The sequence below is a fragment of the Homo sapiens genome, chromosome 12, assembly GCF_000001405.40.
Source record: "Homo sapiens chromosome 12, GRCh38.p14 Primary Assembly".
Lineage (NCBI taxonomy): Eukaryota > Metazoa > Chordata > Mammalia > Primates > Hominidae > Homo > Homo sapiens.
The window spans coordinates 23,157,319-23,182,860 of record NC_000012.12 but is presented as its reverse complement, the minus strand read 5'-3'; the positions used below and the strand labels follow the sequence as shown (position 1 = coordinate 23,182,860).

The following is a 25,542-nucleotide window of genomic DNA, read 5'->3' as shown; positions in this document are numbered from 1 at the left end:
TTGAGATTTCTTTTATATGAACAAAAAATATACTTCCATGTTACAGAAGATAATGTGTGATGTGGTTTGTTTTATGCATGAAGCATAGTTTCTAAAATGTGCAGCCAAACGTAACTTGACTCAAAAATCGTATGTTTGTTTCAGTTACCTATGTGAACAACCATAATTTATTATTATTGTTGTTATTGTTATTTATTTATTTATTTTTCTGAGACTGAGTCTTGCTCTATCACCCAGGCTGGAGTGCAATACCGTGATCTCAGCTCATTGCAACCACCGCCTCCCGGGTTCAAGTGATTCCCGTGCCTCAGCCTCTTGAGTAGCTGGGACTACAGGCACGTGTCACCACGCCCGGCTGATTTTTGTATTTTTAGTAGAGACGGTGTTTCACCGTGTTAGCCAAGATGGTCTCTATCTCCTGACTTCGTGAGCCGCCTGCCTCGGCCTCCCAAAGTGCTGGGATTACAGGTGTGAGCCACAGCGCAAGGACCATAATTTATTACTTTTCATGATTCCTTGGATCAGGAATTTGGGCAAGACACAGCTGGATAGTTCTTTGGCTTCACAGATGGCGGCTGGAGTCATTGTGTAGATGCATGTATCTGAGAGCTTGGCTAGGGTTGAGACATCCGTGATGGCCTTTAGATCTCAGAAAACTCTGCCCACGTGAACTCTAAGCATTTACTAGTTTTTGCTGAACTTCCTTCCAGTATGTTCACTGAGTCCCAAGAAGAAGCAAAAGAGAGCTGCTAAGTTTCTTAAGCCTGTGTTCGGAAGTCCCAGAACATCAATTTTATCACGTTCTATTGGTCAAAACACATCACAAGTCCAGAGCATATTCAAGAGGAGGAAAATACAGTTCATCTCTGTTATGAGCAGCTTGCATGAACAAGAATGGCAGTAATAATTGGTGACCATATTTGGGGACTCTTTACCAAATCAGTTAAAAGAACACTATGGCACCGGCCATTTGAGCCCCTCTGCTCCCAAACCACCCCCTGAAAGCTGGATAGAAAATGGAAAACCTATCAGGAGAACACTATGAGTTTGGTAATAACAAAGCTACAAGATATTACAGAGAGAGAAAGGAGGTCACTACCACCAACAGTGTGGTCCAGGATGTTTGCTGGTGACATCATTGTGGAACAAGAGACAGCAGTGGATGATGAAAACAGCTAGACGAAAATATTCCAGAGTTGCAGAGATTGGTTTGATTTATATATGAGAGCATTCTCCTCTCTTTCTCTTACTCACATTTTGGACCTCAGCACAGACTCTTGAAGAGACTTAAGGGTTTCCTTCCTCTATTTGAAAGATGATCAGGGACACCTAGTGATATAAGCTGTTAAGGTGACCTTCCTAAGTTGCACCAGCTGCTAATGTCCAAGGGACATTTACATTGCATAAAAATTTACTATTTGCATATTCTTACTTCTTAATTTAAAAGAAAATTTATTTATGTATTTTTATATGTATACCTATACATATGAAAATTCTGAAAGAATATATAAAAAATTTTAATGGTTACTATAACTGGGTTATGAAATTAATGAATGAATTTGTCTTCTCTGCTTATTATCAATAAATTTTATATTATTCTATAATGAACATGTATTATTTGCATAATTTTAAAGTTTATTTTTACTAAAATATAAAATTATCTCATATTTCTTTTAAGGAAAAATATAAAGTTACTTTTCGCTTACAAGTGGCCTTTAATTGATCATTTTTGCAGCAAATTTGTAGTCATCCTTGCTAGAAAGTGTCCTGGCTTGCTTCAGATCTGCTTAGTATAATCGTAATAATATTCCTGCTCAGAGATTCACAGTCCCGTAATATACATCCTAGGTGTTTCAATGCCAAAGATTAAAGAAATTTCAAAGGCACAACCAGAAGGTTGAATTATTGAAATGCTAATGAAGACATGTCCTCAGAGAAAATCGCAGGGAGTCTTCACAGTTTTTAAGGCTTCATCTGAAAGACCTTTGCAGAATAAACATGGTGTTCAATTTATGTTTCTCAAAAGGTCTACTGGAATTTGAACTGCTCCTCCCAGAGAGTAGAGTATTTTAAAAGCAGAAGTTCGAGCATTAACCAGTATAATTTCCATTTGGCATCTACATGATCCATATGTCCAAAATAAGAATTTTTATTTAATTCCAAAACAAATTAATTCACTTAATTAGTCTGTAGGTGTATAGGCTGTTGAACGGAGTGGGTTGGCTCTGGGCAGAAGGAATAATATACTGCTAGGAAATGTTGCAACATATTTACACAAAATGTCGGCATTTCTATGTTTGAAAAGATGGTGCTTTTAAAAGATATCACCTCCCAAGGAAGTTAAGTCTTTGTATGCTTACTATCAATCTCTTAAATGTCTCTGTGGCAAAGGTGATTATAATCATCTCCTCTGTTATAAAAGCCTGTGGACAACAACCAGACATAAATAGCCCAAATGACCGTAAAGTTACCTCTAGATATATTTCTAATATTACATATATATGTATAGGTATATGAGTTTATATGTGTTTGTGTGTGTGTGTCTACAGACAGATGGAAGGAAGTATGGATAGATGAATAGATTAGGTAGATAGGTTGATAGATATAGATATATACATACATACATAGATAAATAGATATTACAGATAAATAGATATAGATATTCTATATACAGTATGCATAAATGTACACAGGCTTTTAAGAAACACATTCATCAGGCAAAAAAATACCACCCATAACTTTAATTAAAATGTCTCCCTATAGATTAAAAATAATGCAGATTTTTCATGTTCTGTTATCAGTTTGACCTCTAAAATTGCTTGAATGCCATGGTGTAACAATCAGAGAAAAATTCAACCTTTTGTGTGACTTTGTGTCACTCCTGGAACACCAGAGAAGAGAGATCAAATACTTTGACCCTCATGACTGATAGTTTTCAAGTATAATTAAATGATTTTCTAAAAAACATCGTCCTGATTAGAAATGTGAACATGGCAGCGTAATTCACATGTAGCATGCTTGGGCATTTACATATTGTCACACACCCATGACTATACTGTAGGCTACAATAAATTCTACAGTGGTAATTTCTTGAAACACTAGAAGGGGAAAATGTGAGAAATAATAATGAAATGAGAATCCTATTAGCCACCAAAAGGAAAATAAGAGCTAGTATAAATGCAACGCATAGCACTTCTAATAGTTTGCCGTATTTTTGGCTATCTTAATGACCATGCTACATAAAATTGGTGTATGGCCTATCATTTATGTGGTTGAACCCATTTTTTCCTCAAACTTTTAGACCAAAGAGCATCCCAAAGTTAGAACTTAAATGACATTGGGTTATTGACAAGATTTTCTCACCCAGCACAAACTCAGAAAACCCATTCCTGGTCTTGCTGAATGAGTAGGTTCCATGATTTTGTTCTTAGTTCTGTTACGGTTACATTACTGTGATAAACAAGTAGCTATTAGAGGAAACTGACAACACAGTATGCACAAAAACTCTGTTGGTAAGATTCTTTAATCTAAATTTATAGATCCAATATATGTTTCCAGGACAACTAAAGTTTAATGGCAGGGTGACCATGGACATAATAACAACTAAGTTCTGACAGCTTGATATTTTGAGTTTTAAGGCATTATATTTCAGAGAAGACAAATATTGTTATTTCAGCATATGGAGAACATGAAACAATAAGATTCCAAGCCTTATCCAAAGTCTCATGCAAATCTAACACGTGGGCAATTTCTCCAGTTCCCCACTTATTGATTCTTTCATTCACCCATTAAGAAAAACATATATTGAGCTCTGAGCTAGGCAGGCAGGAACTACAGTGAACCAAGTGAAGGGTACAATGATATAGAAAACAAAGTCTCTACACTACAGCTTTCCACAACTAGTGCAAGCAACCATGCAGTAAGTACTGTGATGTGTGTGTGTGTATGTGTGTGTGCACGTTTGGACAGCCAGAGGAAGGAACAACCTAAATTTGCCTGAAAGAGCTTGGAATGGCCTGAGTAGTGGCATTTGAAATGAGATTTATGATGAGTAGGAGTTCACCAAAGAAAGGTAAAAGAAGGGCATTATAGGTGGAGAAACAGCAGAAACATGAAAGTTTGAAAGAAAATAGAATGAGGAGAACAATTAGCAAACGGTGCCTAGGGATAAAGGTAAATAACATAGAATTAGAAATGAACTACTTAAATGTTTTTGGACCCAATTGGTATAGAGTAATTTAAAAGTTGATAGCAAGATGTAATTTGATGCTTCATTATAAAGACTACTGCACATCACAGAGCTTTTCACTCCTTGTAAGGTGGGTAGATGGGCTATAGATAGATATGCTGAGATGTTAATCTCCTCACCCCTCCTTGGGTCAGCCAGGAAAGCCTGGGTTGTCACCTCTGCTGAACTTCAGGTCCATCATCTCTGGTCAAAGACAGTCTCTTTCATTTTCCAAGGTACATTATAAAAATATCATCATTTTCTATACCTGTCATGAGGTGGAATGGGTTGTGAATCATTGGCATACCAAGCTACGGAGTACATATTCTAAGCAATAGGGAACCCCCTGAAAAATATTAAACAGGAACGTGGTGGCAGGAGTTCTTGGAGACTGAAAGCTGACCTCAGAGCCTACTGGAGTAGCCCATAAAAAAGAGAGTGTCAATCTCAACTACCTCTCAAAGGAGTCACTCTTGAGTTCCCTTCATGGCATTCTATTGAACAGAACTCACGTGTGGCAAGGCTTAGCTTAGAGACACAGAGACCCTGGAATGTCAGAGGAGGACTGATTTTTGTAAAGAGGCCTCTGGCCAGAATGGAAGAGAATATTTAGGTCTAACAATCAGGCACTGGTTCCCAAAATTACTACTTTGAGCAAAGAAGGTGAAACTAAGTCTCTTCCTACCTTTTCAGGTTACAGCACATTTCAAAACATAAGCTTCCTAAGGACTAAGAGCCCCACAGGCATATGGTTCAGCCTGTGATCCAATTAATTGTCCATGAGAAGAAACAGTTTTGACGGAGACTAGAATGTAAACTCCATGACAGTAAGAAGTTGGTGTGTCTGGTGCACTGGTCCTCATTGCCTAGACTAGCTCCTGATGCTTTTAGGCACTAAATAGATGTTTGTTGAATGAGGGAGTGACCCTATAATGTTGGTTGTTGACATGCAAATATCCTCTGGCTAAATTCCTGGGAAATGTGTTTGTTTTTCTACAGAAAGGACTATAACTCAAAATATAGGCAACCTGGAATATGTATGGCAATTTTTATTTTCTATACCTACACATATACATACATTTGCATCTATGTATATATAGAGAGGGAGACAGACACAGATGGAGAGAGATTGATTTAATTTACTTAGGCTCAATACTACTTATTGAGATGAATGATAGAACTCTATCCTACTTCAGCATTGCTCAGCACTGATGGCAGAGGCTGCATCTGAAGATGAGGCTGGGAATGAAAACGGCAGCTAAGGAGTGGCTAAAGGACTGGCAGAAATGATGAGATCCAGGAGATACAGAATCAGCAGGGCCTTTGGCATCAGCCAAGCCACACAACACATTTTCAAGGTACATTGTAAGCTATTGGCATCCTCAAGTTAGGAGAGGCCTTGGGGAAGGGGAGGAAAGTAGGAATCCAGGAATAACAATGCAATAATGGGTGAGGACTCAGAAAATTGTAATTATCCTCATACTCATGGTACTCTCTGAGACTGCTGGCATGGTTTAGGGAAACAAGGGTTATACATGCATTCACAGTGATTTGAATCTGCTATACTCCAGCTGTACCAACACAGAGCCAGTGAAATGGACCACAGTATGGAAAATATAGTGTGTGATTTACTTCTGTCAACTTGTAAAGCTGAGACAGATTTCTGCAGCTGCATTGGACAAGCTGCGATCCATTGAGCTCATTAAGATGTCAATGACCAATCACAGGGACTGTGTTTTTCAGCAACCCACTTGGGAAGTATCCCCCTTCTCGCTGTGGGCCCATAAAACGTGGGGGTTTCTAGATGAGGTGCACAACTCTATCCACAATCCTGAAGTGTAGAACCTTCTGAAGTCCGTTAAAACAAATTTTTTTGAACAAATTTGGTGATTGAACAGATGTATGTCCACTCCCAATTTTTATCTCACTTATTGCGAATAGCCATACGTTTTGCTGCTCAAATTTAATGGTGGGGTGCTGCCCCAGGAAATGCTGGAAGTATTGCATAGTGTATGGGAAATGCTCCAAATTGCCTTTCTAAAACCCTAAACCTTTTGAGTTCTGAAGCCCATCTGGCCTTTGGAGCTTTAGATAAGGGATTGTGTACCTGTGTTTTATTTTTCTCCCATAGAGACAGTCTTGTTTTGCGTTTAGAAGCATTTTGTAGTAATTATTCTTTCTATTAACCCTCTCTAAACAGAGAGTTGTGTTTCCACTTTTAAACTCACTTGTAATCGCACATTTCCATGCCAATTCAAAATAAAAAAAATAAGTTATTGTAGATAATACCAAGTGGTTAATATATGCTAGACCCCTGTGCTAAAACCTTTAGAATTGTTTTCTCTTAGTGACAATGTAACAGGGCCTAGGCCCTGGCATCCTAGTAGAACTACCATGAATACATCCTTACATTCTTCTTGGTTCCTCGCTGACCACAGTCACTGAATCTTCTCTGGACCTCTGCCTTAGTATTGCTGACTAGCTCCAACAGCTTCTACAGAGGGTCCAACCTGACTCTATGGCATTCCTGAGCCTCTCACAGCACCTTGTCCTTTCCCTTCATAGCATTTATCACATTCACAATTGTATTTTATTGCTCTGTTTAATGCCATTCTCCCCACACCCTTGCCCCATATTAAATCCCCACAGGTGTGGGCTGTATCTAGTTTAGTCACCATGGTGTCTGGTGTATAATAACTGGTTTCAGTTGATTATTGCCACATAATAACACACCACCCCCAAATGTAGTGGCTTAAAATATATTGTTTTCACCATTCTGTGGGTTGCTGGGCAGCTCCTCTTCTGCCTTCACTTGATTTCACTTATTCAGCCAGATGGTCGTCTGGGCGGGGAAATCCAAGATGGTCTCACTTACATGTCTGGCAGTCAGTGTTGGATGCTGCCTAGGTTGGCTTCCTTTCGTGAAGGTTTCAAGAGAGCAACAGAGGAAGTGTCAGGGCCTCTTGTGGCCCAGGATTAAAAACTCATGCCCTGTCCCTTCTACCACATTCTACTGGTCAAATAAGTCACAATGCCAGTCAAGATTGAAAGGGATATAGACATATATCCTGTCTTTGGATGAAAGGAGAAGCCAAAGGGCATGCATATTGGGATGGGTGGAATTTGTGGCTATCAAACCACAAATTTACCACACTCCATTTTCTGGCCACAAATTAATCATTTTTGCACATGGAAAGTACGCTTACTCCTATCACAATAATTGCAAAAGTTTTATCCCAGGTATTGCATCAGGCTGGAAATCCACAAGTTTGAGCTTCCCCTCTGGTCCAGATACAAAGGAGGTTTCTCTGTGGAGCTCCTTGGCTTTCATGATCCAGAGTTCTGTGAACCAAAACTACAAGGCTTTTACCCTCTTTTATTCAAATATCTAAGATGAAATGGTGAGACAAAGAAAAAATAACCACAATGAATAATCCTCTTTTTTAAAAAGAGAAAGGACTGGGAGCACATAGCAATCAATGGTCTGAAGCAATTGTGAAATCCAAACAGGTACATGTCCAGGGACAGGGAATGTTCCCTGATTAGGGCCTATTTCTTATCTCTTGGAGTGGCTCTCTAATTAATTTTGTTTTTTGGATTTTGGGTCCACACTCTGGATGGTTTGCTTAGCCTCCGAGAGATCCTTCTTTTTCTGTAAGAAAGAAATAGCCCATGACTGCATCTAAGTAGTTTTCTCAACTCACTTTTTGTCTGTAGGAAATTGATGGCATGGAGTCTTCTTGAACTGTCTCTGTCCCTTTTAATCCAAATCAATATAGTTCCTTTAAAATTCCTTATGGGATTTCTATGGATCAGATTAAATTCTACTCTGTTAGATGACAGCCAGGCTTACTATTCTTGTCAAGGTAGGCCTCTCTCTAATTTGGATGATGGGCCTATTTGAGTGATGGGTCTGGATTCATAGACAATCATTTGTTTAGATGAGAGGTCTACTAAATACTCTATAAGAAATCATTCTGGGTTATTTTGTTAGGGCCTAACAGCCACATCCTTCTATTTGATCTTACCATTGAGGCCACATTTTATTGACTGTCTTCTGGAATTAAATTTTTACCTATATTAAAATTTTCTTTGATAATCTTTTTCAATCCAGCTCATCCTGGGTTTTCTATATTTTCTCTAAATTCTGCTTGCAAATTGAAAAGTTGCTTTTTTAATTAATCTCTCTTCCCACATAATATGGTTTTGGTATGTCCCCGCCCAAATCTCATCTTCAATTGTAGTTTCCATAATCCCCACGTGTTATGGGGGAGGGACCAGGTGGAGATAATTGAATGATGGGGGCAGCTTCCCCCATCCTGTTCTCATGATACTGACTTCGTTCTCACAAGATCTGATGGTTTTATAAGGGATTTTCCCCTTCACTGGTCATTCATTCTCCTTCCTGCTGCCATGTGAAGAAGGATGTGTTTGCTTCCCCTTCCACCACGATTGTAAGTTTCCTGAGGCCTCATGTGTCAATTAAACCTCTTTCCTTTATAAATTATTCAGTCTCAGGTATGTCTTTATTAGCAGCATCAGAATGGACAAATACAGCACACTTTATTATACACAGCTATACAAAGTTGATTCACATTTGTTGCATGCATCCTGGAAATCTCCCAGCCAGATCCGTGAGTTTAAGAAAAGTTTCTACTTTCCAGGTTGCAGCAGGCAACATTTTGCTGATTCTTTGGCCACTATATAACAAGGGTGGCCCTTTCTCCACCCTCCAATAGAAATTTCCTTATTAACTTCCCAGTATCTACTAATCATTGTTTCACTGCCTCTTTAGCTACCAATCACTCCCATCACCAAAGCCAACAGTATATGTTTTAGATTTTTATTATGACAGCACCTGACCTCTATGCACCAATTTCTGTTTTAGTTAACAATTTCAATGTAACAAACCACCCACCAACCCAGTGGCTTAAAAAACAATGATTTCTTATTTCCTGTACAGTTCTTCAGGCAGGCTGGGATATTCATCTGCTGGTTTCATATGCTGGAGGGTCGTCTAGCCGAGAGGTTCAACATGGCTTTATTCACATATCTGACCACTGATATTGCCTGTTGGCTGGGGAATCTTCATTCTCCTTTATGTAGCTTCTCATCCTCAGTAGGCCAGACTGGCTTTCTTTAATGATGATCTCAGGGCATCATTATAAGACTGCAAAGACAGAATCTCCAAGACATCTTGAGTCCCAGGCTCTGGAACTTGTAAAATGTCACTTACGCCATATTCTGTTGGTGAAAGAGAGTCACAACATCGGTCCCTATTCAAGGGAGTGAAGGAACATATCTAATTCTGGATGGGAGGAACAGCAAAGTCACAATGCAAAAGGATATCCTTACTGGAATGGAAGGAATTTGTAATCATTAAAGAACCTACCAGAGTAAATATCTATCAGATGCGTTCATGTTTGATTTTTATCTGGGATTTGAACTTGACCTTAGTCTTCGACCTCTACTGCTTGACTCTGGCTGTAACTCCATGGTAGTGTATTAGTGATCTACTCTGATATCAAACTCAAAATATGAGATTTCCCAATGACCGTTTATTCTCTAATTTCCCCACTTGCTCAAACCTTGTCAACAATGCAGCCTTGAATGTCCCACTTTTGTTGGTCTCTATGTCATACCCTAGTCCAATCTGATGAAGAGATAGTCCTGGTTTTGAGTCTTGGATTTACCATTAAGTCATCGTGTGACCTTGAACAGGTTATTTAAATTATTTTAAATATTTGCCTTATGATATTTGTAGGACTAAATAGTATAATGTATTAAAGTTAGTAGGTTAATGAATGTCAGGTTTCTTCTTTCTTCTGTGTCACTAGATAGTAAAGGATATCCAATACAAGATTAAACTATTGATTTGTGGGCAATGGCTGGCCTTTGAAAGTATGTAAACTAGGAATTTATAATAATATAAGGGGTCAGGGTATTAAATTCTCAGCAACATGTGACTTCTACATTATAGTATGTTTTTCTACATTCTTCTATGTTTTATATATATAGTTTCTGGTATTGTAAAGTATATTAATATAGCCCCCATACAGTGATGGACTATCCAATTAACCTTTAAAGATATGTTTTGGACACCAGTAAATTAGGGCATTGAACAAAAACTAAAAATTTTGATATTTGATTTTCAAAAAAGACATTGAAATAGTCACTAAATGAAAATTCAAAACTTTATCAGAATTTACTACATATATTTCTTTTTAATTTTATGTTGTTTTTACTTTTAAATATATGACACAGAAGGTATTATTGTCTTCTTGATGCTTTGTGCCTCTGATCCAGCCTTTCTCTCATGTACCACATAAAATTGGAGGCTCAGAATAGTGATGCTAAAAATGAAATGGAGACTAAATATAAAACACATTTCATAATAGGAATAAATGATGGGTCTCGGTGGCTGGTATATTATAAAGATTAATGGCAAGGGAAAAGTTGAAGATCTCACTACAACCATCATTCAGCTTCATGTCACCCAAATCACACACGATAGGTCAAATAAATTAAATAGCTTGAACCATATTTACATACACTATTTTACAATGTATTGAATGTTGAGCTCTCTCTCCTCTGAATTCTTCATATTTTAGCATGAAGTCTTTTATAAACTATATATATAAACTTTTATATTCTATTTCATCATCTGATATTTGAAGGAAATTCCAAATAAATTTTTTTTAAATACTGCTGTGAATGATGCAATTGTCCCAATCTGCCACATTTCCCCACTTCACTAATAGCCTCTATCACCTTCTGCCACCAACCCTCCATGAGGCCAGAAAAGACTGAGTTACAGCGGGCGGGGATTGAGTGTTACAAGATCAGGATTAGGAGGAGCCTGGCAGATGGAGGTGGCAATAGCAGTGTCAGGAAGCAATGAAGGCAAAGACCTGGGAAAACAACAAAATCTGGAGCAAGCACATATAAACATTGAGTCCTGAGAATTGCAGTAGGGATGACGCTGGGATCACAGAGTTGGGAGTTTGCAGGCAGGTAGAAGCATGATCAAAGTAAAACAGGTTTAAGAAGCGAGGTTGGCCCAGGTAATTTTTGGTTCATATATGTAGTTCCCTTTTATAGCAGAGGGGTAGAGCATGGTGGGTCAGACCTTCAAAACACTCCAGGTGAACCCAGAATAGAAATTCAGTAGATACATTTTTTCTCCTACCATGCTTAACGTTGTATGGCTCTAGGCTTTGAGGACATAATAAAATTTCTGTGTTACCCTTTAAGATGCTTTTACCTTAGTAAGACTCCGGGGTCAGCCCTGACCTCACAGGAAAATTAAATGTCTTTGTGGTTACTTATTTGACACTTTAGACGTATGTCCGTAAAGGCAGTGGGAAGAAGCTAGTTCCTTAGACAGTCATGACTCAAGTGAACTTAACTATATGGCAGAAGTAAGACTCAAGTTTTAAGATCTGCAATGAAGCCCTCTAGCAAATTCTATAAAATGAAAAATAATCAACTATAAGCCAGGTGCCTCTAGAATGGTATGGATAAGACATTCGGTTTGGCTTTCTATAAGGTACTTTATCCGAGTGAAATACACCAGCTTGGTCTTCCAGTTTGAGCTGAATATATTCTGTCAAACAATGGCGTCCTCACCTAAGAGTAATATCATCAAAGTGGTGTTTTTCTTTTACACATTTTTGAGGCCAGGAACCCTTTCGACGGTGTTTTTAATGCCCCAGAACTCCAAAACCTATGGGATCTGGAGCTAATGGAGCAGATACAAATGAAACATGTCCTCTGTGACCATACTTTTCTTTCAAAAACCCTAGAGATTTGAAACATGGTTTGAAAACCAGTGGACTAAGACAATGAATCCCTTCTTTTCTCTTGAGATGTAGGTTTAGCTCCAGTGTAGGGATCCAAGGGAGATAGTGTCAACTGGCCTTTCAATGTTTACTGCAAGTTTTCTGTTTTTCCAAAGGCAGATGAGTTTACTGAAAAGGCATGAAGTGACAATGTCTAAACACCACCAAGGTGCTTAATCTTCTGGGCCCTCCTCTGGTAAATTATATGCTATTGAAATTAAAGTGCTATGAGAGCTGAAACATGCATAAATACACACGTTTTTCCCAGGAGTGACAAACTTCTATGTTATCTGTCTTTTTTAAAAAAACACCTGATCATTATTTCATTCTTCTTCAGATAGTGCATTTATGAATGTATCTTTTGGGATGCAGGTGGTATTCTGAGTCATCTAAAAAATAATTCATGTAGCACAGACAAATTTTTTCTCTGGCATGAAGCTCAGCCTTGGATTCCAACAGTAATTCAACAGTAATAATCCAGCATAAGAGTTTTTAAGTGGGCCACAGAAACCTCCTCTTAGTAATTGCTACTCTTCCTCTTCTATGCCTTGAATAGGAGAGCATGAGAAGGACCCACACTTTGCAATTTGAGGCAATGAATGTGTATATCCTATTTAACTCTGAATCTAAAACACTATTATACATTGTTTTCCTAGGGCTTCATATCCAGATAGATTAGCACTTTTTAATTGATCTTATGAAACTCAACAAAAGCTATTATGCTTGTTTAAAAAAAAAAGAAAAAGAAAATCCTCTAGTGAACATGTAATAGTGAATTCTAGAAAGCCAGATAATTTCTTTGCTTAATAATAGTTTTCTTTCCTCTTGGCTGCAGATTCTCATAACTAGCACCATGCCAAACATTCGAAGATTGGATTATGGCCTGTCGTACTTGATTATTTTTGTCAGCATGCTGACCCGGGTGCCCTTTTCTTGTGTTGTTCCTTCTGTTTCCATTTTTCATGTCATCCAGCTTTTCATCTTGTCAATCAGCTTTTGACTTCCTGATTAAAGTGTCTGTCACAGGAGCAGCCTGGTCTCCAGTCAGTTGTTTAATTTGTTCCTCATGGCATCCAATTGAGTTATTCATCTGGCCCAGCTGTTCACAAGTGCTTCCAGCATCACTTTTTCATGTGTTTGGGTTTAACCTCTATATCTATGTACAACAGTGTGAATTGTTCCATTCATACTGTTGACTGTGGATTGCTTCACCTTCCTAATGCCTTGATGCTACCAGGCTGGCTGCTACACTGTGGCCAAACGGACAGAGAAGCAATATTTCAATCTGATGTTATGGTAACAAGTACAACTAAACAGACTAGTTTTCAAGAATTATAGCAGGCCCTCTTTTTAACAATTAGGACGATGTAATGGAAACTCTAGACTGTTCAGATTTAGATCCACCCAAAAATAATGTTGATGGTGCTTGGCAGAGGAAAGAAAACATTCATCTGCCAACATTGCGGATATCGCCATGAATGCTCCAGGATCTATTTGTTGCATTAGGTGACATGAGATACTCTCTTGGCCTGAATTGATGCAGATATCCAACTGGAAAAATGAAATTAAGTAAATCTGCTGAGTTTGCAATGCTAAAACTTGTCTTCCAGTGGTTAGATGATTTATATTATGCAACATTCAAGAAGCCACATAATGCAACAGGAAACTGGAGGAAAAGAAAACTAGAGTACATTTCCCCACTCTTCCCTTTTAGCCACTCAAACCTAATCAATTCAAAATTCCAGTAGATTGTTTATGAGTGAGCCATTCCTTCCTGCTATTCCTATCATGTTTCTCCTTTACCTCCTACAAACTTGAAATGGTAATTCCATTACAGCAGTCATGAAAATAGCCAGAGACCAAGTGCCTAGGACTCAAAAGAATGTAGAATGATGAGTCTAATGAAAATCAGACAGCAAACTGAACACAACTTCACAACCTACCTCCCATTTTGGTTTGATTTCGTGGGAATGTTTGTTAAGAATCCAGTTGCTCCTCAAAGAATATGCATTCATTTCCTTAGGTTATTAATGAAAGATATATTAAAGCAATGTAGAAATCCTGAAGAGAGGAAAAACGTTTGTAGCCTATCTGGGGAAGGCTATTATTGTCAATTAAGCAGAAAAAAGTAAAATAATTTTGCTGATTATTGGTTTTTACTATTTTTAACTTTCTCTGCAAAGTATGATACATATACTAATTCATATTACTAACAATAATACTGAAACTTATTTATAGAAGTTTAATATATTTCACTTTTTAATTAGAAAAACTTTAAATTTTTACTTCAACTGGTAAAAATAATAAAATATTTGGTGGTCATAAATCATGAAGAATAATGTAGCTTAAAGTCTGTATTCCTGGTTTTGTTCTGGTCAATAGGCCTCCCAGTGTAGGTTTTCCATGAGGCATTTCTGAGGAGAATAGTTTTTTCAATTTCTTCCTTGTGAGGTTTTGCTTGTTACCTTGGGTGGATTCACTTTTCCAATTTTTACCAAATTCACATCTTTGAAGGAATATCCCCCATGAGTCTTTCCATTATTATCCTCAGTGAGGTGAATACAGTGAATCTGTACTCAATCTTCATTCCATACTGCTCCTTGTGTGCCTTTCTGTGCTGCAGAAGCTATGAAGTTAAAAACCACTTTTGCTTGACTCCTTTGCAGCTAGGACTCCAGATATGCTTTGGGTTTATCACATCAGCTATACTTGTGAAAGATTTGGAAACTGAAATTGAGGCAAAAGTCACTATTTTACCATTTCTGTTTACCACGTTGGCAAGCACAGTCCTGGAAATACTGAGTTTTGCTGTAGTAGTGCTAGCAGATATTCCTGATGTCCTAAGGCAAGGTGAGGGACAATTACTACATGCTGAGAAAGCATGATTATGAAGCCAACAGGTGTGGATGCAATGCCCTGACCTGAATCATACCTAAAAAGTGTGCCTCTGGAGTGTACAGTCAAGGTGGTGGATTCCTGGTTCCCTGTTTCTGATTGTGGCTCCCTGGGGAGCCAGTTCTATGTTACTGATCTGTGAGTTGTTCCTGGGTTCTAACACGGAGCCTGCTCTTCTAGTTAGTCTACTGGTTTGCAAACTCCTAATTCCCAGTATTAAATCCCCTTCTTATTTAAGTGATTTTTAAACTGAAAATACATCCTGATTGATGCCATTTCTTTCCACATTTTCTGAAATCCCTTGCGTTATGATCAGTGGCATAGTGCAAAGAGTAGATGCTTTGGAGTCATATAATTATTAGATACATGACCTAGGATATATTTATGAACTTATATGAGTCTCAGTTCTCTATTTTTACAAAATGAGTAATAATACTTCAATGCTCAGTTGATAACAAGGATAACATAAGATATGCCAAGTGCCTGGAACACTGATTTAAACACTCAACAAATGTCAGCATCCTTGTTTAAATTTGAAAGTTTCTGACATAGTATTTCCCACTAAGCTAATCAAGGATTGCATACAGTGAAGAAGACAAAAGCTATGGGACAATATTGTTATTGTTTTAAAAGCACATTCCTGTGTCAATCTGCAGCCAATGAACCAATGACTTGTGATAACCTGTACTGTGTTTTACACAGGGAACTGAAACCACTGAGATTTCAGGTTGCTATACTCAACTTTTTGGAAAATCAAATAAAATACATTTTTATATGTATTCTTTGGGAGTAAAGAGTACCAGGTGTTACATACGTACATGCTTAACACCATGAAAAAAAGAAGAGATGATCTTCAACCTGAGAAAGAGAAAGATAAAGATTATAGTAGAATTTGAACCCTACCTCCTTACCCAAACTTAGGGACATTTTTCAGTTAGTAACTCAATAAGACTGCACTCCTAATCTTTTGGACAAAATAATTGGATTTTCAGTTGTCATTTCCCTTCAGAAGGAATCTATCCTAGCTGCATGATGCGCTAAGTATTCCAGAACCTTCCTCAATCTTTCTAAATAGATATATGAGGAAAAATACATAGACACACACACACACACACACAAACTCACACATACAAACACAAAGAAATACCTGGATGTTAGAAGTAAAAATGAATCTAAAATCCAGCAAGTGCCTGTGTTAGAAGATACTGTTGTGTGGCTCACGCCTGTAATCCCAGCACTTTGGGAGGCCGAGTCAGGCTGATCACCTGAGGTCAGGAGCTCGAGACCAGCCTGGCCAATATGGTGAAACCCTGTCTCTACTAAAAATCCAAAAAAAAAAAAAAAAAAAGATACTGTTGTGACCTGGAGTTTAATACCTAGAGGATTAACTTTAAAACTCAGTAAATGTCATGAAAAGAGATGGCACTTTGGGCATATTTGAGTAGGAAGGTAGAAATGAGAATCTTATAAGCCCAAAAAATCAAGGGTTTCATCTTAGTGACAATAGATACTGGAAATGCATACCCATTGGCCCAGGGAAATGGCAAGGAACCTTGCCTCTGTATAGGAATATGAGCCAAAAAAAAAAAAAATACTACTACCATGAAAAATTGATAAGAGGAGCCATGAGCAAATGGAGCTTGATTCTGCGCAATTTGGAGGGGCATGGAAACCCCTTCAAACCAGGAAGTATGCGGAAAAAAATCAGTCCCAGACATCTTGTGTAAATAAATGCAAATTCAAAACTCCTTTGGAGAAACTCTCTCTCCCTATCTCTCTCGCTCTCCTTTTCTCTCTGTCTCTCTGTCTCTCTCTCTCTCTCTCTCTCTCTCTCTCTCTCTCACACACACACACACACAAAATCCTTATTTCTGATGACCTCACAATCAAATATTTTTAAGAATATACACAGGAACAATCCTGCATCAGCAAGATTAAATAAACATAATCCCCAAATTTAAGATTACAAAAAAATCTGAAAAATATATAAAAGTAAATATGTTTAAAGTGATAACAAAAGGAATAAAACCATAAAGCAAGAATAAAACACTATCAAAAAGCAAATTAAAAAGCAGCAATGACACTAAGAAATAATATATTTATAGTTTTGAAATTTAAAACTCAATGGACAGGTTAAAAAGCAGATCAGTTACAAGCCAAAAAATTATTAAAATAGAAAGATAAGATAAACAGGCACCAAATATAATTTCTGCGACAGATTAGAGATAATGGTAGCAGAACACTTTCAGAAAAAATGTTGAGACCTTTTCTAAATGACATATATCTTCAGATTCAACAATCATGACGATTGAAGAGAAGAACAATGGTAATTCCCATCTCTACAAGATGCTGGAATGCTCTGCCCGTATTCCCCTGATCTCCCACTCCCATATTAGCTCCAGGTGTGACTTCATTCCCAAATCCAGCACCTGCAACTTTCTGGCAGAGTGCCATCCTCAGGTTGTGGGAGCCTAAATACCTTTGTTCATGAAGAATCAGAGTACCTGGAAATTCACATTCTATTCCTTTAAGGGCAGCCTTTAACTTATTGCTGATGGTTCAGCATATAGGAATAGGATATCCACCATGCACCCTGATTGAGACAGCTCTGAAGTATGACCAAAACTGATTCCAGTGGGAAAAATTTCCTGAGTTAATGAGACTAAGTTATCCTGTCTGGAACTTTGCTAGAAGTCACAGTGTTGCTTGGCGTCTATCCACTTCTTGTCTTGTTATTTTATTTCCCTATTGATTTTTCCTGGGATCACTCCTTTAAAAAAAGACAGAATACTACTACACAAATCCATACCCCTATATCTGCTTCTGGGAAACCCAATCTAAATACAGTCTAGACACATTGTAATAAAAATGCAAAACTTTAAAGACAAAGATAACATCATCGTGAACAATTATATTTTTCAAATTATCTACACAGAAACAAGTAGACTAAGAGCAGACTTTTTCCAAAAAAAATCCAAACAAAGGAATAATATCCACAAATAACAAAATCTCCAGCCTAGAGTTTAATACCCAGCTAAACTAAGAGTAGGGGTAAAATACAACTATTTCCCTAAGAAAAAGAATGATAGGGTATGTAAATAACAATTAATTATAGAAAGAAATGCTAACTACATTTTTAATGAAAAATTGGTAAACAAGAAAAGAGAAGAATCTAAGAAACAATACATAGCAAAAAATATAGGAAGCATGTAGGTCAAGTTAAATATAATTAACCACATATAATTAATAATAATTATTAATTGAACACATACAAAAAGATATAAAACTAAACTTCTATAGAAAATTATAATCTAAGATTCTAGGAATGGAGTTGGAGTGGGTATAATGTGCGATGATTGTGATGCACTTAAAACATTCTAAGATTCTGGTATTGATTAGGAGAAGGAGAAAGCTATTGATTAGCCTTAGACTCTCTAGGTCAAGTGTAGAAATTAAAATTCAAAAACTGCTGTGGGAATAGAAAAAGAATGGATATTTAACATATAAATCAATACAGAAGAAAGGGTAATAAAATAAAATCTGATCAATTCAATGTAAAGCAAGAAGAGAATTCAATAAAATAGCAAGGAAAATCATAGAAAATAGAAAAAGTAAATACAGTTGTAAAACTGTATTTAGGTGTGTTAGAAATAATAATAAAGGTAATTATTGGTGGATTAACCAATCCAGGCAAAATAAAAGAGGGTCCCCAGAAAGTCAGGTGTTTTAAAAACCTAACTGATTTTTTTTTTACTGAGTCACACCTAAATCATAATACAGCAAGGCTGAAAGAAAGAACAGAAATAATCACAAGTAAGTAATATTTAAAAAGCCTAGAATAGTCACAACATTTGTATAAAACAAAACATATTTTGAAAAATAATTACTGATAATTAAGAAGATTACTTCCTAATTATCAAGGAAAGATTTCCTAGGACTACATAATCCTAAATTTCTATAATCCTTACAAAGAAATGTCAAAATATGTAATGTAATGATATCAAAAATCACAGGGAAAATTAACAAGTCACATAGTGTTCAAATTTAACAGACCTCTCTCATTAATAAATCAAGAAGATAAAAAAGTACTAAGAATATTAAATACACCAATTAACAGTTTTAGTCTAAAGAACACGTATAGAATCCTATTACAAAATTAGAGAATATAACTTAAAATATACTTAAAGTTAGAGACTATTCTTTGTTTTTAAGTATACACGGAGCTATATGAAAATTGGATGCAAAGATACAGAAACCAAATCACTCCATGAAGTAACAAAATTGGTAAAATATAGACTTCATTCTTTTAATGTAATTAAGATAAATTGAGATGTATTCTAAAAAATAACCTTTCAAGGAAGAAAAAGATTATAATGGAATATCATACACAATCATATATCAACAAATTAGGTAGCTTAAATGAGATGGACAAATTCTTAGAAAGACATGAACTATTGAAATTGACTCATGGAGAAATTAAATATATGAAAAGTACTATAACAAATGAAGAGAGTAGGTGGGGTAGCCGTAGTGGCTCATGCCTGTAATCCCAGCACTTTGGAAAGCTGAGGCCGGCGGATCACTTGAAACCAGGAGTTCGAGCCTGGCCAACATGGTGAAACCCTGTCTCTATAAAAATACAAAAATTAGCTGAGCTTGGTGGTGCACCTGTAATCCCAGTGAGTCAGGCGAATCACTGGAACCCCGGAGGCAGAGGTTGCAGTGAGCCGAGATGGTACCACTGCACTCCAGCCTAGGCGACAGAATGAGGCTCTGTCTCAAACAAAAAACAAAACAAGTTAAGGGATTAGAGATTTAAATAATAAACAAAATTCCCTCAAAGAAAAGCCCAAGAATAGCTTTGCTGGTGAATTCTAAAAACACTCAAAGAAAAATTAACACTGATACTTCACAAACTCTTAGAAAAATAGAAGAGAAGCGATCACTTTCCACCTTATTCTATGAGGCCAGTATTTACGTGTTACAGAAACCAGAAAAAAACTACCTACAAAAAGAAAACTTTAGACCAATATCTTTTAAAATTATAGATTAAAAAAATCCTAAACAAAATACTATCAAACTGAATCCAGCAACATATAAAAAGAATTATATAACATCACCAAGTGGGATTTATCACAGGAATGAAAGGTTAGTTGAACATACAAAAATCTGTCTGAATACTGTGGTGTCATAATAACAGAATAAAGGACAAAAAACCCACATGATTGTCTCAATAATCATGCTTTTAGTTGCATAAAAGCAATTGAAAAGATCCAATATCCTTTCATGATAAAAACAAACAAACAAACAACAAAAAAACTAGGGGTAGAATGGAACCTCCGCAACATAAATGCTCCTCAACAAAGCACTTATGAAAAACCTACAATTAATAAAAATTAATGATGAAAGGATAAAAGCATTCTAAGATCAGGAATTAAGACAATGTTATCCACTTGTGTCACTCCTCTTTACTATCATGCTGGGGATTAAGCCAGAGCAATTAGGTAAGAAAAGGAAGTAAAATGTGTCCAGATTAGAAAGGAAGTTAAACTATCTCTGTTTGCAGATGACACAATCTTGTATATAGAAAATTCTAAAAGTTCAATAAAAATATGAGAACTAATAGTCAAGTTTAGCAAGGTTGCAAGATACAAAATCAATATGCATACATCAATTTTATTTCTATACACTAGCAATTAGCAAGCTGAAAATGAAACTTTAAAAATTCTATTGCATAAAAAAAAAATTCTATTGCATTAGTGCCATGGTTTGGATATGATCTGTTTGGCCTCACCAACTCTCATGTTGAAATTTGATCCCTAATGTTGGAGATGGGCCTGGGTGTTTCAGGATGTTTGGGTCACGGGGGCAGACTGCTCACTAATAGCTTGGTGCCATTCTCACAGAAATGAGTTCTCACTTCTAGTTCTGCCCAGAAGAACTGGTTATTGAAAAGAACCTGGCACCTGCTCCACTTCTCTCTCTCTTACTTTGTTTCTTGCCATGTTATCTCTGTACATTCTGATTTCCCTTTACCTTCCACCAGGAGTGGAAGCAGTCTGGGGCCCTCATCAGGAGCTGCCATGCTTTTTGCACAGCCTGCAGAACCATGAGCCCTGAGCCAAAGAAACCTCTTTTTTTTCCTTCAATACATTATCCAGCCTCAGGTATTCCTTTATAGCAACACAAGTGGACTAAGACAATTAACATCAAAAAGAATAAGATACTTAGAAATAAATTTTTAAAAGAAGTATAAGCCTTTACACTAAAAAAAATTGTTGAAAGAAATAAAAGAAGACAAGTAAGTCGAAAGACATTCTATTTTAATGGATTGAGAAACTAAATTTTTTTAAGATGGTAATATGCTTCAAAATGATCAACTGATTCAAAACATTCACTATTAGCATTCTAGTTGCTTTTTTTGCAGAACTTGACATGGTGAACCTAAAATTTATATTAACATGCAAGAGAATCAGAATAACCAAAATAGTCTTGAAGAAGAATACAGTTAGAAAGCTCACACTTCCTGATTTCAAAGTTATTACAAAGCTGCAATAATCAAGACAATGTGGTACTGGCATTAGAATAGACATTTAAACTAATGGAAATGGACAGAGTCTAGAAAGAAACCCTTGCATATATGGTCAACTGAATTTGACAAGGGTGTTGAAACTAATCAATGGGGGAAAGGATTTTTTTTTTTTTTTTTTGAGACAGAGTCTTGCTCTGTTGCCAGGCTGGAGTGCAGTGGCACGATCTCGGCTCACTGCAACCTCTGCCTCCTGGGTTCAAGCAATTCCCCTGCCTCGGCCTCCTGAGCAGCTGGGACTACAGGCATGCACCACCACACCAGGCTAATTTCTTTGTATTTTTAGTAGAGACAGGGTTTCACCATGTTGGCCAGGATGGTCTCAACCTCATGACCTTGTGATCTGCCCACTTTGGCCTCCAAAAGTGCTAGGATTATAGGCATGAGTCATCACGCCCAACCAATTTTTTTTTTAACAAAGAGATATTTATATGCAAAAGAATGAAATTGAACTCCTACCTCACACCACATACAAAAATTAACAAAAGATGGATCAAACACCTCAATGTAAGAACTAAACTATAAAACTCATAGAAAAGCACATAGTTAAAAATCTTCTTGACCTTGTATTTGGCAATGGTTTCTTAAATATGACACCTGAAGCACAAATACCCAAAAAGGAAAAAAAATAGGTAAGTTGGACTTTATCAAAATCAACAAATGTTGTGCTTCAAAAGACAACATTAAGAAAATAAAAAAGACAACCATGGAATGAAAGAAACTCATTATCTGATGAGACAGATTAAGATAATGTAAAGAAATAAAAAAAAATTAAAATCTGAGAAATTTGAATAAATATTTTTCAGAAAAAGATATATAAATGGCCGATAAGCACACAAAAAGACACACAACATCATTTGTCATTAGGAAAACTAAAACTGTGATGAAATACCACTTCATACTCACTGGAGTGGCTGTAATTTTTAAAATAGACAATAAAAAGTGTTAGCAAGTGTATTAGTCCATTTTCATACTGCCATGAAGAAATATCTCAGACTGGGTAATTTATACAGAAAAAGAAGTTTAATGGACTCACAGTTCTACATGGCTGGGGAGGCCTCACAGTCATGGTGGAAGGCAAAGGAGGAGTAAAGACATGTCTTACATGACGGCAGGCAAGACAGCATGTGCAGGGGAATTGCCCTTTGTAAAACCATTGGATCTCATTAGACTTATTCACTATCATGAGAACAGCACAGGAAAAACCGCCCTCATGATTCAATTACTTTTCACCAGGTCCTTCCCATGACACGTGGGGATTATGGGAGCTACAATTCAAGATGAGATTTGGGTGGGGACACAACCAAACCATATGAGCAAGCATGTGGAGAAACTGCAAACTTCATACATTGCTGGCAAGAATGTATAATATTGAGTCACTTTGGAAAATAATTTGACAGGTCTTCAAAAAGATGAACATGGAATTACCATATGACAGCAATTCCATTCAATGCCCAAGAGATTGGAGACATATTTTCACACAAGAACATATATATAAATGTTTAGAGCAGCATTATATATACAGCCCCAAAGTGGAAATAACACAGATGCCTATCAACTGATGAATAAATAAATGCTGTATATCCCTACAATGGAATATTATTCAGCCATAAAAAGGAATGACATACTGATACATGCTACACTGTGGATGAACCTTGTGAACATTGTGCAAAGTGAAAGTTGCTAGACACAAAATGCCATATAATGTATGATTTCACTTATATAAAATTAAAGATAAGCAATTCTATAGAAATGGAAAGTTAGTGGTTTCCTGGGACTAGGGGGAGGGAAAAATGTAAAATGACTGTTAATGGGTACACAGTTTATTTTTAGAGTGATAAAATTTTTCTGGAATTAAATATTGGTGAGTTGCACAACCTCATGAATATACTAAAAATCACTGAATAGTACATTTTGAAAGAGTGAATTTTATGATATGTTTATATCTTAATTTAAAAATTGTAAAAATGAGAAAACTATATATTATTCAAAAATTTAAAATAATTTATGGATCAAATTAAAATAATCATGGAAATTTAAATATGCTTAGAATTAAGCAACAATGTTTTCACTTAAAGAATACAGCTTAACTGTATTTATAAAAAAAATATAGCCTTCAAGGAAAATATTAGAAGAGACTGAAAATTAATGAGCTAAGCATTCAACTAGACAGGCTGCAAGCCCAAAGAAAGGAAAAAGGAAACAAATAGTGAGGATGGAAAAAAAGAAGTAGAAATCAAAGAAACAAAAGTAAAACAAATAAAACAACAAAAAATAAAATCCAAATGCTGCTTTTGGGGGAATAATTAATAAAATAAGAACTCTTTTCCCAAAACTGATTTAAAAAAGAAATACTTGGGAGGCTGAGGCAAGAGAATCTCTTGAACCCAGGAGGTGGAGGTTGCAGTGAGCCAAGATTGCGCTATTTCACTTCAGCCTGGGCAACAAGAGCGAAACTCCATCTCAAAAAAAAAAAAAAAAAGAAAGAAAGAAAGAAAGGAAGAAAGAAAAAGAAAATACACATATTAGTCCCGAGAAAAGAAATATTTTAAAAAGATTGAAAAATTCCCAATATTTTAAAAAATAATAAGAGCATACGATGAATGTCTTTATGGAATAAGTTTATAAAAACATTAAATAAATTGAAAATTGCATAGAAAATTATAATTTATAATAATTGACTCAAAAAATTAATAGAAACCTTGGGTAACCCTATAACTAGAAAAAAATGAATAAAGGTATTTTTGTTTGTTTTTAAAATCTACTTACAGAAGCAGATACAAAATTAAATTGTTATATCATAGCCATGAACACAGTAACTGGTACCAGGCTTTCTCACCTAATAAACAACTAGAAAACAACCTTTCTCATTGACTGGGCAATGGTCATTTCAGGATTGTATTCATGAAAGAAGTGAAACAAAGTTAGTTCAGCCTAGAGATGGTCTACACTAGACGTGACTAGCATCATGTTATCAATACAGTAGCCTAGCATGATACTCTCTGTAATGTCAAGATGTTGAAGTCCCTGAGGATTATATTGTGAAAAGGTGATACAGTTAATACAGCGCTTGGTCAAAACTACAAATATGCTCTGTTTTCTTTCCTAGAAGAAAACAAACTATTTTTTATCCGCTTTTGTGGTGAGCATTAGAAATCACCCATTCAGTTTGTTTGTATCCTCTTTTATTTCATTGAGCAGTGGTTTGTAGTTCTCCTTGAAGAGGTCTTTCACGTCCCTTGTAAGTTGCATTCCTAGGTATTTTATTCTCTTTGAAGCAATTGTGAATGGGAGTTCACTCATGATTTGGCTCTCTGTTTGTCTGTTATTGGTGTATAAGAATGCTTGTGATTTTTGCACATTGATTTTGTATCCTGAGACTTTGCTGAAGTTGCCTATCAGCTTAAGGAGATATTGGGCTGAGACGATGGGGTTTTCTAGATATACAATCATGTCATCTGCAAACAGGGATAATTTGACTTCCTCTTTTCCTAATTGAAAACCCTTTATTTCCTTCTCCTGCCTGATTGCCCTGGCCAGAACTTCCAACAATATGTTGAACATTCTATGCTCATGGGTAGGAAGAATCAATATCATGAAAATGGCCATACTGCCCAAGGTAATTTATACATTCAATGCCATCCCCATCAAGCTACCAATGACTTTCTTTACAGAATTGGAAAAAACTACTTTAAAGTTCATATGGAACCAAAAAAGAGCCCGCATTGCCAAGTCAATCCTAAGCCAAAAGAACAAAGCTGGAGGCATCATGCTACCTGACTTCAAACTATACTACAAGGCTATAGTAACCAAAACAGTGTGGTACTGGTACCAAAACAGAGATATAGACCAATGGAACAGAACAGAGCCCTCAGAAATAATGCCGCATATCTGCAACCATCTGATCTTTGACAAACCTGACAAAAACAAGAAATGAGGCAAGGATTCTGTATTTAATAAATGGCACTGGGAAAACTGGCTAGCCATAT

At 36.5% G+C, this 25,542-nt stretch overlaps 1 long non-coding RNA gene across 13 annotated transcripts in view; it reads right to left on the bottom strand.

Moving 5' to 3' along the window:
* Positions 1–25,542, bottom strand: part of LINC02955 (long intergenic non-protein coding RNA 2955) — a 491,729-nt gene that overhangs the window by 8,727 nt on the left and 457,460 nt on the right. For 5 of the 13 annotated variants that reach the window (NR_187503.1, NR_187509.1, NR_187507.1 and 2 more), the window contains 2 exons: positions 15,783–15,822; positions 8,736–9,472 (listed from right to left, as the gene is read on the bottom strand). The exons of 4 other annotated variants lie outside the window; for them this stretch is intronic. This is a non-coding gene — a long non-coding RNA (long intergenic non-protein coding RNA 2955). Of the gene's footprint in view, positions 1–7,000; positions 7,214–8,735; positions 9,473–15,782; positions 15,823–25,542 lie in introns of those variants that run through there. 4 more of the 13 variants (NR_187508.1, NR_187500.1, NR_187515.1 and 1 more) reach the window with 3 other exon arrangements.